This window comes from Homo sapiens, chromosome 10 (assembly GCF_000001405.40).
Source record: "Homo sapiens chromosome 10, GRCh38.p14 Primary Assembly".
Lineage (NCBI taxonomy): Eukaryota > Metazoa > Chordata > Mammalia > Primates > Hominidae > Homo > Homo sapiens.
The window spans coordinates 41,858,709-41,872,943 of NC_000010.11; the positions used below are offsets into that span (position 1 = coordinate 41,858,709).

At 40.6% G+C, this 14,235-nt stretch overlaps 17 annotated features.

Annotated features, from left to right (window-relative positions):
* Positions 92–972: an enhancer, noted in NCBI's record as "OCT4-NANOG-H3K27ac-H3K4me1 hESC enhancer chr10:42380529-42381409 (GRCh37/hg19 assembly coordinates)". NCBI's record gives its function as "activates a minimal SCP1, AML or CMV promoter by ChIP-STARR-seq in naive and primed H9 embryonic stem cells {active_cell/tissue: H9 hESC(naive and primed)}" and the evidence as "EXISTENCE:reporter gene assay evidence [ECO:0000049][PMID:30033119]".
* Positions 973–1,854: an enhancer, noted in NCBI's record as "OCT4-NANOG-H3K27ac-H3K4me1 hESC enhancer chr10:42379647-42380528 (GRCh37/hg19 assembly coordinates)". NCBI's record gives its function as "activates a minimal SCP1, AML or CMV promoter by ChIP-STARR-seq in naive and primed H9 embryonic stem cells {active_cell/tissue: H9 hESC(naive and primed)}" and the evidence as "EXISTENCE:reporter gene assay evidence [ECO:0000049][PMID:30033119]".
* Positions 1,478–1,772: a silencer, noted in NCBI's record as "tiled region #1927; HepG2 Repressive non-DNase unmatched - State 24:Quies". NCBI's record gives its function as "represses a minimal TATA promoter and a strong SV40 promoter by Sharpr-MPRA in HepG2 cells {active_cell/tissue: HepG2}" and the evidence as "EXISTENCE:reporter gene assay evidence [ECO:0000049][PMID:27701403]".
* Positions 1,855–2,736: an enhancer, noted in NCBI's record as "OCT4-NANOG-H3K27ac-H3K4me1 hESC enhancer chr10:42378765-42379646 (GRCh37/hg19 assembly coordinates)". NCBI's record gives its function as "activates a minimal SCP1, AML or CMV promoter by ChIP-STARR-seq in naive H9 embryonic stem cells {active_cell/tissue: H9 hESC(naive)}" and the evidence as "EXISTENCE:reporter gene assay evidence [ECO:0000049][PMID:30033119]".
* Positions 2,737–3,619: an enhancer, noted in NCBI's record as "OCT4-NANOG-H3K27ac-H3K4me1 hESC enhancer chr10:42377882-42378764 (GRCh37/hg19 assembly coordinates)". NCBI's record gives its function as "activates a minimal SCP1, AML or CMV promoter by ChIP-STARR-seq in naive H9 embryonic stem cells {active_cell/tissue: H9 hESC(naive)}" and the evidence as "EXISTENCE:reporter gene assay evidence [ECO:0000049][PMID:30033119]".
* Positions 3,620–4,500: an enhancer, noted in NCBI's record as "OCT4-NANOG hESC enhancer chr10:42377001-42377881 (GRCh37/hg19 assembly coordinates)". NCBI's record gives its function as "activates a minimal SCP1, AML or CMV promoter by ChIP-STARR-seq in naive H9 embryonic stem cells {active_cell/tissue: H9 hESC(naive)}" and the evidence as "EXISTENCE:reporter gene assay evidence [ECO:0000049][PMID:30033119]".
* Positions 4,501–5,383: an enhancer, noted in NCBI's record as "OCT4-NANOG-H3K27ac hESC enhancer chr10:42376118-42377000 (GRCh37/hg19 assembly coordinates)". NCBI's record gives its function as "activates a minimal SCP1, AML or CMV promoter by ChIP-STARR-seq in naive H9 embryonic stem cells {active_cell/tissue: H9 hESC(naive)}" and the evidence as "EXISTENCE:reporter gene assay evidence [ECO:0000049][PMID:30033119]".
* Positions 5,384–6,265: an enhancer, noted in NCBI's record as "OCT4-NANOG-H3K27ac hESC enhancer chr10:42375236-42376117 (GRCh37/hg19 assembly coordinates)". NCBI's record gives its function as "activates a minimal SCP1, AML or CMV promoter by ChIP-STARR-seq in primed H9 embryonic stem cells {active_cell/tissue: H9 hESC(primed)}" and the evidence as "EXISTENCE:reporter gene assay evidence [ECO:0000049][PMID:30033119]".
* Positions 6,266–7,148: an enhancer, noted in NCBI's record as "OCT4-NANOG-H3K27ac hESC enhancer chr10:42374353-42375235 (GRCh37/hg19 assembly coordinates)". NCBI's record gives its function as "activates a minimal SCP1, AML or CMV promoter by ChIP-STARR-seq in naive and primed H9 embryonic stem cells {active_cell/tissue: H9 hESC(naive and primed)}" and the evidence as "EXISTENCE:reporter gene assay evidence [ECO:0000049][PMID:30033119]".
* Positions 7,149–8,030: an enhancer, noted in NCBI's record as "OCT4-NANOG-H3K27ac hESC enhancer chr10:42373471-42374352 (GRCh37/hg19 assembly coordinates)". NCBI's record gives its function as "activates a minimal SCP1, AML or CMV promoter by ChIP-STARR-seq in primed H9 embryonic stem cells {active_cell/tissue: H9 hESC(primed)}" and the evidence as "EXISTENCE:reporter gene assay evidence [ECO:0000049][PMID:30033119]".
* Positions 8,031–8,912: an enhancer, noted in NCBI's record as "OCT4-NANOG-H3K27ac hESC enhancer chr10:42372589-42373470 (GRCh37/hg19 assembly coordinates)". NCBI's record gives its function as "activates a minimal SCP1, AML or CMV promoter by ChIP-STARR-seq in primed H9 embryonic stem cells {active_cell/tissue: H9 hESC(primed)}" and the evidence as "EXISTENCE:reporter gene assay evidence [ECO:0000049][PMID:30033119]".
* Positions 8,913–9,794: an enhancer, noted in NCBI's record as "OCT4-NANOG-H3K27ac-H3K4me1 hESC enhancer chr10:42371707-42372588 (GRCh37/hg19 assembly coordinates)". NCBI's record gives its function as "activates a minimal SCP1, AML or CMV promoter by ChIP-STARR-seq in primed H9 embryonic stem cells {active_cell/tissue: H9 hESC(primed)}" and the evidence as "EXISTENCE:reporter gene assay evidence [ECO:0000049][PMID:30033119]".
* Positions 9,795–10,676: an enhancer, noted in NCBI's record as "OCT4-NANOG-H3K27ac-H3K4me1 hESC enhancer chr10:42370825-42371706 (GRCh37/hg19 assembly coordinates)". NCBI's record gives its function as "activates a minimal SCP1, AML or CMV promoter by ChIP-STARR-seq in primed H9 embryonic stem cells {active_cell/tissue: H9 hESC(primed)}" and the evidence as "EXISTENCE:reporter gene assay evidence [ECO:0000049][PMID:30033119]".
* Positions 10,677–11,558: an enhancer, noted in NCBI's record as "OCT4-NANOG-H3K27ac-H3K4me1 hESC enhancer chr10:42369943-42370824 (GRCh37/hg19 assembly coordinates)". NCBI's record gives its function as "activates a minimal SCP1, AML or CMV promoter by ChIP-STARR-seq in primed H9 embryonic stem cells {active_cell/tissue: H9 hESC(primed)}" and the evidence as "EXISTENCE:reporter gene assay evidence [ECO:0000049][PMID:30033119]".
* Positions 11,559–12,440: an enhancer, noted in NCBI's record as "OCT4-NANOG-H3K27ac-H3K4me1 hESC enhancer chr10:42369061-42369942 (GRCh37/hg19 assembly coordinates)". NCBI's record gives its function as "activates a minimal SCP1, AML or CMV promoter by ChIP-STARR-seq in naive and primed H9 embryonic stem cells {active_cell/tissue: H9 hESC(naive and primed)}" and the evidence as "EXISTENCE:reporter gene assay evidence [ECO:0000049][PMID:30033119]".
* Positions 12,441–13,322: an enhancer, noted in NCBI's record as "OCT4-NANOG-H3K27ac-H3K4me1 hESC enhancer chr10:42368179-42369060 (GRCh37/hg19 assembly coordinates)". NCBI's record gives its function as "activates a minimal SCP1, AML or CMV promoter by ChIP-STARR-seq in naive and primed H9 embryonic stem cells {active_cell/tissue: H9 hESC(naive and primed)}" and the evidence as "EXISTENCE:reporter gene assay evidence [ECO:0000049][PMID:30033119]".
* Positions 13,323–14,205: an enhancer, noted in NCBI's record as "OCT4-NANOG-H3K27ac-H3K4me1 hESC enhancer chr10:42367296-42368178 (GRCh37/hg19 assembly coordinates)". NCBI's record gives its function as "activates a minimal SCP1, AML or CMV promoter by ChIP-STARR-seq in naive and primed H9 embryonic stem cells {active_cell/tissue: H9 hESC(naive and primed)}" and the evidence as "EXISTENCE:reporter gene assay evidence [ECO:0000049][PMID:30033119]".

Below are 14,235 nucleotides of genomic sequence, written 5' to 3' on the forward strand. Positions count from 1 at the left end.
TGGAATCAACCCGATTCCAATGCAATGGAATGGAATGTAATGGAATGGAATGGAACGGAATCAAATGGAATGGAATCAACCCGAGTGGAATGTAATGGAATGGAAACAAACAGAGTGGAATGGAATGGAATGGAATGCAATGGAATATAATGGAGTGAAAGGCATTAGAATCAACTGTAATGGAATGGAATGGAATGGATTATAATGGAATGGAATGGAATCAATCCCGTTGGTATGGAATGGAATGGAATGGAATTCAATGTAATGGAAACAAACCGAGTGGAATGTAATATAATGGAAAGGACTGGAATGTAATGGAATGGATTGGAATCTACCCGATTCCAGTGAAACGAAATGTAATGTAATTGAATGGAATGGAACGGAATGCAAAGGAATAGAATGAACTGGAATGGAATGGAATGGCATTGAATTTAACGGAATGGAAAGGAATGGAATGAAATGGAATGGAATCAACGCGAGTGGAGTGGAAAGGAATGGAATGGAAATGAATGGAATGGAAAGGAATGGAATAGAATGGAACGGAATGGAATGAACCCGAGTGGAATGGAATGGAATGGAATGGAATGGAAAGGAATGGAATGGAATGGAACGGAAAGGAATGGAATGGAATGGAACGGAATGGAATGGAGTGGAATGTAACGGCATGGAATGGAATGGAATGGAGTGGAATCAACCCGAGAGGAATGGAATGTAATGGACTGTAATGGCATGGAATGGAATGGAATGGAGTGGAATAAACCCGAGTGGAATGGAATGGAATGCTATGGACTGGAATGGAATGGAATGGAATCAATCCGAGTGGAATGGAATGGAATGGAATGGAATCAATTCGACTGCAATGGAATGGAATGGAATGGAATGGAATGGAATCAATTCGAGTGCAATGTAATGGTATAGAATGGAATGGAATGGAATAGAATCAAACACAGTGGAATAGAACGGAAACGGATGGAATGGAATGGAATGGAATGGAATGGAATGGAAAGGAATGGAATGGAATGTAACGGCATGGAATGGAATGGAATGGAGTGGAATCAACCCGAGTGGAATGGAATGGAATGGACTGTAACGGCATGGAATGGAATGGAATGGAGTGGAATAAACCCGAGTGGAATGGAATGGAATGGTATGGACTGGAATGTAATGGAATGGAATCAATCCGAGTGGAATGTAATGGAATGGAATGGAATGGAATGGAATCAACCCGAGTGCAATGGAATGGAATGGAATGGAATGGAATGGAATGGAATAGAATGGAATCAATTCGAGTGCAATGTAATTGTATAGAATGGAATGGAATGGAATCAACCAGAGTGGAGTGGAATGGAATGGAATGGAATGCAATGGAATGGAATGGAATGGAATGAAATGGCATGGAATGGAATGGAATGGAGTGTAATCAACCCGAGTGGAATGGAGTGGAATGGACTGTAATGGCATGCAATGGAATGGAATAGAGTGGAATAATCCCGAGTGGAATGGAATGGAATGCAATGCACTGGAATGGAATGGAATGGAATCAAACCGAATGGAGCGGAATGGAATGGAATGGAATGGAATCAACCCGAGTGCAAGGGAATGGAATGGAATGGAATGGAATAGAATGAAATAAACACGAGTGGAATGGAATGAAATGGAATGGAATGGAATGGAATTGAAGAGAATGGAATGGAATCAAGTCGAGTGGAAAGGAATGGGATGAAAAGGAATGGAATGGAATGGAAAGGAATGGAATGCAATGGAATGCAATATTATGGAATGGAATCAACATGAGTGGAATGGAATGGAACGGGATGGAATGGAATGAAATGGAATGAAATGCAATGGAATGGACAGGATTAGAATGGAATGGAATGGAGTAGAATTGACAGGAATGGAATGGAATGGAATGGAGTGGAATGGAATGGACTAGAATGGAATGGAATGGAATGAAATCAACACGATTGGAATGGAATGGAATGCAATGGAATGGAGTGGAATGGAATAAACACCAGTGGAATGGAATGGAAAGGAATGGAATGGAATGGACAGGAATGCAATGGAATGGAATGGAATGCAATGGAATGGAATGGAATGGAATGGAATGGAATGGACTAGATTGGAATGGAATGGAGTGAAATCAACCCGATTGGAATGGAATGGAATGCAATGTAATGGAAGGGAATCAACTGGAAAGGAATGAAATGGAATGGAATGGAATGGAATGGAATCAACCCGAGTGGAATGCAAGGGAATGGAATGGAATGGAATGGAATGAAATCAGCCCGAATGGAATGGATTGGAATAGAGTGGAATGGAATGGAACGGCATGGAATGCAATGGAATCAACTAGAATGGAATGGAATGGGATGGAATGGAATGGAATGGAGTGGAATGGACTAGAATGGAATGTAATGGAATGAAATCAACCAGATTGGAATGGAATGGAATGCAAATAAATGGAATGGAATCAACTGGAAAGGTATCAAATGGAACGGAAGGGAATGGAATGGAATGGAATGGAATTGAATGGAATGGAATCAACTCGAGTGGAAAGGAAAGGAATGGAAAGGAATGGAATGGAAAGGAAAGGAATGGAATGCAATGGAATTCAATGGTATGGAATGGAGTCAACCCGAGTGGAATGGAATGGAAAGAATGGAATTAAATGGAATAGAATGGAATGCAATGGAATGGAGAGGAATGGAATAAACACCAGTGCAATGGAATGCAATGGAATGGAGTGGAATGGAAAGGAGTGGAATGGAATGGAATGGACAGGAATGGAATGGAATGGAATGAAATCAACCCGATTGCAATGGAGTGGAAACCAACGGAATGTAATGGAATCAACTGGAAAGGAATGAAATGGAATGGAATGGAATGGAATGGAATGGAATGGAATCAACTCGAGTGGAATGCAATGGAATGGAATGGAATGGAATGGAATCATCCCGACTGGAATGGATTGGAATGGAATGGAATGGAATGGAACGGCATGGAATGCAATGGAATCAACTAGAATGGAATAGAATGGAATGGATTGGAATGGAATCGAACGGAATCAACCTCAGTGTAATGGAATGGAATGGAATGGAATGAATGGAATGGAATGGAATGGATACTAATGGAATGTAATGGAAAAGAAACAACCCGAGTGGAATGGAATGCAATGGAATGCAATGGAATGGAATGGAATGGAATGGAATTCAATGTAATGGAAAAAAACCGAGTGGAATGTACTGGAATGGAAAGGACTGGAATGTAATCGAATGGATTGAAATCAACCCGATTCCAATCCAACGGAATGGAATGGAATGGAATGGAATGGAATGGAATGGAATGGAATGGAATGGAATGGAAAGGAAAGGAAAGGAATGGAATCAACTGGAATGGAATGGAATGGAATGGAATGGAATTTAATGGAATGGAATGGAATTTAATGGAATGGAATAAAATGGAAACGAATGGAATGGAATGGACTAGAATGCAATGGAATGCAATGAACCCGAGTGACATGGAATGGAATGGAATGGAATGGAATGGAATTGAATGGAATGGAATAAACACGAGTGGAATGGAATGGAATGGAATGGAATGGAATGGAAAGGAATGGACTGGAATGGAATGGAATCGAATGGAATGGAATTGAATGGAATGGAATAAACACGAGTGGAATGGAATGGAATGGAATGGAATGGAAAGGAATGGACTAGAATGGAATGGGAAGGAAAGGAATGGAATGAAATGGAATGCAATGGTATGGAATGGAGTCAACGCGAGTGGAATGGAATGGAATGGAATGGAATGAAATGGAACGGAATGGCATGCAATTGAATGGAGTGGATTGGAATAAACAACAGTGGAATGGAATGCAATGGAATAGAGTGGAATGGAATAAACACCAGTGGAATGGAATGGAACGGAATGGAATGGAATGGAATGATCAGGAATGGAATGGAATGGAATGGAATGGAAAGGACTAGAATTGAATGGAATAGAATGAAATCAACCCGATTGGAATGGAATGGAATGCAATGGAAGGGAATAGAATCACCTGGAAAGGAATCAAAGGGAACGGAATGGAACGGAATGGAATGGAATGGAATGGAATGGAATCAAATCGAGTGGAAAGGAATGGAATGGAAAAGAAAGGAATGGAAAGGAAAGGAATGGTATGCAAAAGAATGCAAAGGTATGGAATGGAGTCAACCCGATTGGAACGGAATGGAATGGAATGGAATGAAATGGAATGGAATGGAATGGAATGCAATGGAATGGAGTGTAATGGAATAAACAGCAGTGGAATGGAATGCAATGGAATGGAGTGGAATGGAATGGAATGGAATGGAATGGAATGGACAGGAATGGAATGGAATGCAATGGAATGGAATTGAATGGAATGAAATGGAATGGACTAGATTGGAATGGAGTCAACCTGAGTGGAATGGATTGGAATGGAGTGGAATGGAATGGAACGGCATGGAATGCAATGGAATCAACTAGAATGGAATGGAATGGAATGGATTTGAATGTAATCGAACGGAATCAAACTGAGTGGAATGGAATGAATGGAATGGAATGGAATGGATACTAATGCAATGGAATGGAAAGGAAACAACTCGAGTGGAATGGAATGCAGTGGAATGCAATGGAATGGAATGGAATGGAATGGAATGGAATGGAATGGAGTGGAATAGAATCAACCCGAGTGGAATGGATTGGAATGGAGTGGAATGGAATGGAACGGCATGGAATGCAATAGAATCAACTAGAATGGAATGGAATGGAATGGATTGGAATGGAATCGAACAGAATCAACCTGAGTGGAAAGGAATGGAATGGAATGGAATTGAATGAATGGAATGGAACGGAATGGAAATTAATGGAATGGAATGGATTGGAAGCAACCCGAGTGGAATGGAATGCAACGGAATGCAAAGTTATGGAAAGGAATGGAATGCAATTCAATGTAATGTAAACAAACCGAGTGGAATGTAATGGAATGGAAAGGACTGGAATGTAATGGAATGTATTGGAATCAACACGATTCCAATGCAACGGCATGGAATGGAATGGAATGGAATGGAATTTAATGGAATGGAATGGAATGGAATTTAATGGAATGGAATGGAATGGAATTTAATGGAATGGAATGGAATGGAATGGAATCAACCCGAGTGGAGTGGAATGAAATGGAATGGAAATGAAAGGAATAGAATGGAATTGAAAAGAACGGAACGGAATGGAATGAACCCGAGTGGAATGGAAGGGAATCGAATCGAATGGAAAGGCACGGAATGGAATGGAATGGAATCAACCCGAGTGGAATGGAATGCAATGGAAACAAACTGAGTGGAATGGAATGTAATGGAATGGATTGGAATCAACCCGATTCCAATGCAACAGAATGGAATGTAATGGAATGGAGTGGAACGGAATGGAATGGAATGGAAAGGAATGGAATGAACTGGAATGGAATGGAATAGCATGGAATTTAACGGAATGGAATGGAATGGAATAAACGCGAGTGGAGTGGAATGGAATGGAAAGGAAATGAATGGAATGGAATGGAATGGAACGGAACGGAATGGAATGAACCCGAGTGGAATGGAATGAAATGGAATGGAATGCAATGGAATGGAATGGAATGGAATGGAATGGAATCTACCCGAGTGGAATGGAATGGAAGGGAATCTGATGGAATGGAATGGAACGGAATGAACTGGAAAGGAACGGAATGCAATGGAATGGAGTGGAATGGAATAAACACCAGTGGAATGGAATGGAAAGGAATGGAATGGAATGGACAGGAAAGGAATGGAATGGAATGGCATGGAATTGAATCGAATGGAATGGACTAGAATGGAATGGAATGGAGTGAAATCAACCCGATTGGAATGGAATGGAATGCAATGTAATGGAATGGAATCAACAGGAAAGGAATGAAATGGAATGGAATGGAATGGAATGGAATGGAATGGAATGGAATGGAATGGAATCAACCTGAGTGGAATGCAATGGAATGGAATGGAAGGGAATGGAATGAAATCAGCCCGACTGGAATGGATTGGAATAGAGTGGAATGGAATGGAACGGCATGGAATGCAATGGAATCAACTAGAATGGATTGGAATGGGATGGAATGGACAGGAATGGAATGGAATGGAATGGAGTGGAATGGAATAGAATGGAACGTAATGGAATGAAATCAACCCGATTGGAATGGAATTGAATGCAATTAAATGGAATGGAATAAAGTGGAAAGGAATCAAATGGAACGGAATGGAATGGAATGGAATGGAATGGAATAGAATGGAATGGAATCAACTCGAGTGGAAAGGAAAGGAAGGGAAAGGAATGGAATGGAAAGGAAAGGAATGGAATGCAATGGAATTCAGTGGTATGGAATGGAGTCAATCCGAGAGGAATGGAATGGAAAGAATGGAATTAAATGGAATAGAATGCAATGCAATGGAAGGGAGAGGAATGGAATAAACACCAGTGGAATGGAATGCAATGGAATGGAGTGGAATGGAATGGAGTGGAATGGAATGGAATGGAATGGACAGGAATGGAATGGAATGGAATGAAATCAACCCGATTGGAATGGAGTGGAATGCAACGGAATGGAATGGAATCAACTGGAAAGGAATGAAATGGAATGGAATGGAATGGAATGGAATGGAATCAACTCGAGGGGAATGGAATGGAATGGAAAGGAATGAAATGGAATGGAATGAAATGCAATGGAATGGAGTGGAGTGGAATAAACAGCAGTGGAATGGAATGGAATGGAATGGAATGGAATGGACAGGAATGAAATGGAATGGAATGGAATGGAATGGAATGGAATGGAATGGAATAGAATGGAATGGAATGGAATTAAATCAACCCGATTGGAATGGAGTGGAATGTAATGGAATGGAATGGAATCAACTGGAAAGGAATGAAATGAATGCAATGGAATGGAATGGAATGGAATGGAATGGACAGGAATGAAATGGAATGGAATGGTATGGAATGGAATGGAATGGAATGGAATGGAATGGAATGGAATGGAATGGACTAGAATGGAATGGAATGGAATGAAATCAACCCGATTGGAATGGAGTGGAATGTAATGGAATGGAATGGAATCAACTGGAAAGGAATGAAATGAATGCAATGGAATGGAATGGAATGGATTGGAATGGAATGGAATGGAATGGAATCAACCTGAGTAGAATGCAATGGAATGGAATGGAATGCAGTGGAATGGAATCAACACGAGTGGAATGGAATGGAACAGAATGGAATCAACCCGAGTGGAAAGTAATGGAATGGAATGGAATGGAATGGAATGGAAGGGAATAAACAAGAGTGGAAAGGAATCGAATGGAATGAAATGGCATGGAATGGAATGGAATAAACACGAGTGGAATGGAATCGAATGGAATGAAATGGCATGGAATGGAATGGAATGCAATGGAATCAACTCTAGTGGAAAGGAATGGATTAGAAAGGAATGGAATGGAAAGGAAAGGAATGGAATGCAATGGAATGCAATGGTATGGAATGGAGTCAACCCGAGTGGAATGGAAGGGAATGAAATGGAATGCAATGGGATGCAATGGAATGGAGGGGAATGGAATAAACACCAGTGGAAAGGAATTGAATGCAATGGAATGGAATGGACCAGAATGGAATGGAATGGAATAGATTGGAATGGAATGGAATGGAATGGAGTGGACAAGAATGCAATGGAAAGGAAAGGAATGAAATCAACCCGAGTGGAATGGATTGGAATAGAGTGGAATGGAATTTAAAGGCATGGAAAGCAATGGAATCAACTAGAATGGAATGGAATGGAATGGAATGGAATGGACAGGAATGGAATTGTATGGAATGGAATAGAATGGAGTGGAATGGACTAGAATGGAATGGAATGGAATGAAATCAACCGGATTGGAATGGAATGGAATGCAACGGAATGGAATGGAATAAACTGGAAAGGAATCAAATGGAACGGAATGGAATGGAATGGAATGGAATGGAATGGAATAGAATGGAATGGAATCAACTCGAGGGGAAAGTAATGGAATGGCAAGGAATGGAATGGAAAGGAAAGGAATAGAATGCAAAGGAATGCAATGGTATGGAATGGAATCAACCCGAGTGGAATGGAATGGAATGGAATGGAATGGAACGCAATGGATTGGAGTGGAATGGAATAAACACTAGTGGAATGGAATGGACAGGAATGGAATGGAATGGAATGGAATGGAATGGACAGGAATGGAATGGAATGGAATGGACTAGAATGGAATGGAATGGAATGAAATCAACCCGATTGGAATGGAATGGAATGCAATGGAAGGTAATGGAATCAACAGGAAACGAATGAAGTGGAGTGGAATGGAATGGAATGGAATGGAATGGAATGGAATGGAATTAACCGAGTAGAATGCTATGGAATGGAATGAAATGGAATGGAATGAAATCAACCCTAATGGAATGGATTGGAATAGAATGGAATGGAATGGAATGGCATGGAATGCAATGGAATCAACTAGAATGGAATGGAATGGAATGAAATGGACAGGAATGGAATGGAATGGAATGGAATGGAATGGAATGGAATCGAATGGAATGGAATGGAATGGACTGCAATGGACTAAAATGGAATGGAATGGAATGAAATCAACCCGATTGGAATGGAATGGAATGCAATGGAATGGGATGGAATCAACTGGAAAGGAATGAAATGGAATGGAATGGAATGGAATGGAATGGAAACAACCCGAGTGGAATGCAATTGAATGGAATGGAATGGAATGGAATGAAATCAACTCGAGTGGAATGGATTGGAATGGAGTGGAATGGAATGGAACGGCATGGAATGCAATGGAATCAACTACAATGGAATGGAATGGAATGGATTGGAATGGAATCGAACGGAATCAACCTGAGTGGAATGGAATGGAATGGAAAGAATGGAATGGAATGGAATGGAAACTAAAGGAATGGAATGGAAAGGAAACAACCCGAGTGGAATGGAATGCAATGGAATGCAATGGAATGGAATGGAATGGAATGGAAAGGAAACAATCCGAGTGGAATGGAATGCAATGGAATGGAATGGAATGGAATGGAATGGAATTCTGTGTAATGGAAACAAACCGAGTGGAATATAATGGAATGAAAATTACTGGGATGTAACGGAATGGATTGGAATCAACCCGATTACAATGCAACGGAATGGAATGGAAGGGAATGGAATGCAATGGAAAACAATGGAATGAACTGGAATGCAATGAAATTTAATGGAATGGAATGGAACGGAATGGAATCAACCCGAGTGGAGTCGAATGGAATGGAAAGTAAATGAATGGAATGGAATGGAATGGAACGAAATGAAATGAACCCGAGTAGAATAGAATGGAATGGAATGGAATGGAATGGAATGGAATCAACCCGAGTGAATGGAATGGAAATGAATGGAATGGAATGGAAAGGAATGGAATGAAATCAACCCGAGTGGAATGCAATGGAATGAAATGGAGTGGAATGGAAAGGAATTGAGTGGAATGGAATGTAATGGAATAAACCCGAGTGGAATGGAATGGAATGGAATGGAATGGAATGGAATGGAATAAATACGAGTGGAATCGAATGGAATGGAATGGAATAAATACGAGTGGAATGGAATGGAATGGAATGGTATAGAATGGAATGGAATCAACTCGAGTGGAAAGGAATGTAATGGAAAGGAATGGAATGGAATGGAATGGAATGGAATGCAATGGAATGCACGGGTATGGAATGGAGTCAATGCGAGTGGAATGGAATGGAATGGAATTGAATGCCATGGAATGGAATGGAATATAATGGAATGGAGTGGAATGGAATAAACACCAGTGGAATGGAATGGAATGGAATGGAATGGAATGGAATGGAATGAAAAGGACAGGAATGGAATGGAAAGGAATGGAATGGAATGGCACGGAATGGATAGGAATGGAATGGAATCAACATGACTGGCATGGAATGGAATGGAAAGGAATGGAATGGAATGGAATGGAATGGTATGGAATCAGCCCGAGTGGAATGGAATGGAATGGAATGGAATGGAACGGAACGTAAAGTAATGAACCCGAGTAGAATGGAACGGAATGGAATGGAATGGAATGGAATCAACCCGAGTGGAATGGAATGGAATGGAATGGAATAAACACGAATGGAGTGGAATGGAATGGAATGGAATGGAATGGAATGGAATCAACTCGAGTGGAATGAAATGTAACGTCATGGAATGGAATGGAATGGAATGGAAAGGAATGGAATGGAATGGAATAGAATGGAATCAATTCGAGTGCAATGTAATGGAATAGAATGGAATCAATTCGACTGCAATGTAATAGTATAGAATGGAATGGAATGGAATGGAATGGAATCAACCAGAGTGGAATGTTATGGACAGGAATGGAATGGAATGGAATGGACTGGAATGGAATGGAAGGGAATGGAATGGAAATGACTAGAATGGAATGGAATGGAATGAAATAAACCCGATTGGAATGGAAAGGAATGCAATGGAATGGAATGGAATCAACTGGAAAGGAATGGAATGGAATGGAATGGAATGGAATGGAATGGAATGGAAGGCATTAGAATCAACTGGAATGGAAGGGAAAGAAATGAAATGGAATGGAATGGAATGGAATGGAATGGAATTGAATCAACCCCAGTGGAATGGAGTGGAATGGAATGGATTATAATGGAATGGAAAGGAATCAATCCGGGTGGAATGGAATGGAATGGAATGGAGTGGAATGGAATGGAATGGAATGGAATGGAACGGAATGGAATGGAATCACCCCAATGGAAGGGAACGGAATGGAATGGAAAGGAATGGAAAGGAATGGAAAGGAATGGAATGCAATGGAATCAACCCGAATGGACTGGAATGGAATGGAATGGAATGGAATGGAATGGAATGGAATCAACTCAAGTGGAATGGAAATGAATGGAATGGAACGGAAAGGAATTTAATGGAATGGAATGGAATCAACCCACGTGGAATGGAATGGAATGGAATGCAATGGAATCAACCCGAGTGAATGGAATGGAAATGAATGGAATGTAATGGAAAGGAATGGAATGAAATGGAGTGGAATGGAAAGGAATTGAGTGGAATGGAATGTAATGGAATCAACCCGAATGGAATGGAATGGAATGGAATGCAATGGAATGGAATGGAATGGAATGGAATGGAAAGGAATGGAATAAATACGAGTGGAATGGAATGGAATTAAATGGAATAGAATTGAATGGAATCAACTCGAGTGGAAAGTAATGTAATGGAAAGGAATGGAATGGAATGGAAAGGAATGGAATGCAATGGAATGCACGGGTATGGAATGGAGTCAATCCGAGTGGAATGGAATGGAAAGGAATTGAATGCAATGGAATGGAATTGAATTCAATGGAATGGAATGGAATGCAATGGAATGGATTGGAATGGAATAAACACCAGTGGAATGGAATGGAATGGAATGGAATGGAATGGAATGAAAAGGATAGGATTGGAGTGGAATGGCACGGAACGGATAGGAATGGAATGGAATCAACATGACTGGCATGGAAGGGAATGGAAAGGAATGGAATGGAATGGAATGGAATGGAATAGAATGGAATGGTATGGAATCAGCCCAAGTAGAATGGAATGGAATGGAATGGAATGGAATGGAATGGAATGGAACGGAACGAAAAGTAATGAACCCGAGTAGAATGGAATGGAATGGAATGGAATGGAATGGAATCAACCCGAGTGGAATGGAATGGAATGGAATGGAATAAACACGAATGGAATGGAAAGGAATGGAATGGAATGGAATGGAATGGAATGGAATCAACTAGAGTGGAATGAAATGTAACGTCATGGAATGGAATGGAATGGAATGGAATGGAATGGAATGGAATGGAATAGAATGGAATCAATTCGAGTGCAATGTAATGGAATAAAATGGAATCAATTCTACTGCAATGTAATGGTATAGAATGGAATGGAATGGAATGGAATCAAGCAGAGTGGAATGGAATGGAAAGGAATGGAATGGAATGGAATGGAATGGAATAGAATGGAATGGAATGGAATGGCATGGAATGTAACGGCATGGAATGCAATGGAATGGAGTGGAATCAACCCGAGTGGAATGGAATGGAATGGACTGTAACGGCATGGAATGGAATGGAATGGAATGGACTGGAAACAAACCGAGTGGAATGGAATGGAATGGAAAGGAATGGAATGGAATCAACCCGAGTGGAATGGACTGGAATGTAATGGAATGGAATCAACCAGAGTGGAAAGGAATGGAATGGAAAGCAATAGAATGGAATGGAAGGGAATGGAATGCAACGGAATGCAATGGTATGGAATGGAGTCAACACGAGTGGAATGGAATGGAATGGAATCGAATGCAATGGAATGGAATGGAATGCAATGGAATGGAGTGGAATGGAATAAACACCAGTGGAATGGAATTGAATGGAATGGAATGGAATGGACTAGAATGGAATGGAATGGAATGAAATCAACCCGATTGGAATGGAATCGAATGGAATGGAATGGAATGGAATCACCTGGATAAGAATGAAATGGAATGGAATGGAATGGCATTGAATGCAAAGGAAAGGAATGGAATGAAATCAACCCGAGTGGAATGGATTGGAATAGAGTGGAATGGAATTTAAAGGCATGGAAAGCAATGGAATCAACTAGAATGGAATGGAATGGAATGGAATGGAATGGAATGGAATGGACAGGAATGGAATTGTATGGAATGGAATAGAATGGAGTGGAATGGACTAGAATGGAATGGAATGGAATGAAATCAACCGGATTGGAATGGAATGGAATGCAACGGAATGGAATGGAATAAACTGGAAAGGAATCAAATGGAACGGAATGGAATGGAATGGAATGGAATGGAATAGAATGGAATGGAATCAACTCGAGGGGAAAGTAATGGAATGGCAAGGAATGGAATGGAAAGGAAAGGAATAGAATGCAAAGGAATGCAATGGTATGGAATGGAATCAACCCGAGTGGAATGGAATGGAATGGAATGGAATGGAACGCAATGGATTGGAGTGGAATGGAATAAACACTAGTGGAATGGAATGGACAGGAATGGAATGGAATGGAATGGAATGGAATGGACAGGAATGGAATGGAATGGAATGGAATGGACTAGAATGGAATGGAATGGAATGAAATCAACCCGATTGGAATGGAATGGAATGCAATGGAAGGTAATGGAATCAACAGGAAACGAATGAAGTGGAGTGGAATGGAATGGAATGGAATGGAATGGAATGGAATGGAATTAACCGAGTAGAATGCTATGGAATGGAATGAAATGGAATGGAATGAAATCAACCCTAATGGAATGGATTGGAATAGAATGGAATGGAATGGAATGGCATGGAATGCAATGGAATCAACTAGAATGGAATGGAATGGAATGAAATGGACAGGAATGGAATGGAATGGAATGGAATGGAATGGAATGGAATGGAATGGAATGGACTGCAATGGACTAAAATGGAATGGAATGGAATGAAATCAACCCGATTGGAATGGAATGGAATGCAATGGAATGGGATGGAATCAACTGGAAAGGAATGAAATGGAATGGAATGGAATGGAATGGAAACAACCCGAGTGGAATGCAATTGAATGGAATGGAATGGAATGGAATGAAATCAACTCGAGTGGAATGGATTGGAATGGAGTGGAATGGAATGGAACGGCATGGAATGCAATGGAATCAACTACAATGGAATGGAATGGAATGGATTGGAATGGAATCGAACGGAATCAACCTGAGTGGAATGGAATGGAATGGAAAGAATGGAATGGAATGGAATGGAAACTAAAGGAATGGAATGGAAAGGAAACAACCCGAGTGGAATGGAATGCAATGGAATGCAATGGAATGGAATGGAATGGAATGGAAAGGAAACAATCCGAGTGGAATGGAATGCAATGGAATGGAATGGAATGGAATGGAATGGAATTCTGTGTAATGGAAACAAACCGAGTGGAATATAATGGAATGAAAATTACTGGGATGTAACGGAATGGATTGGAATCAACCCGATTACAATGCAACGGAATGGAATGGAAGGGAATGGAATGCAATGGAAAACAATGGAATGAACTGGAATGCAATGGAATTTAATGGA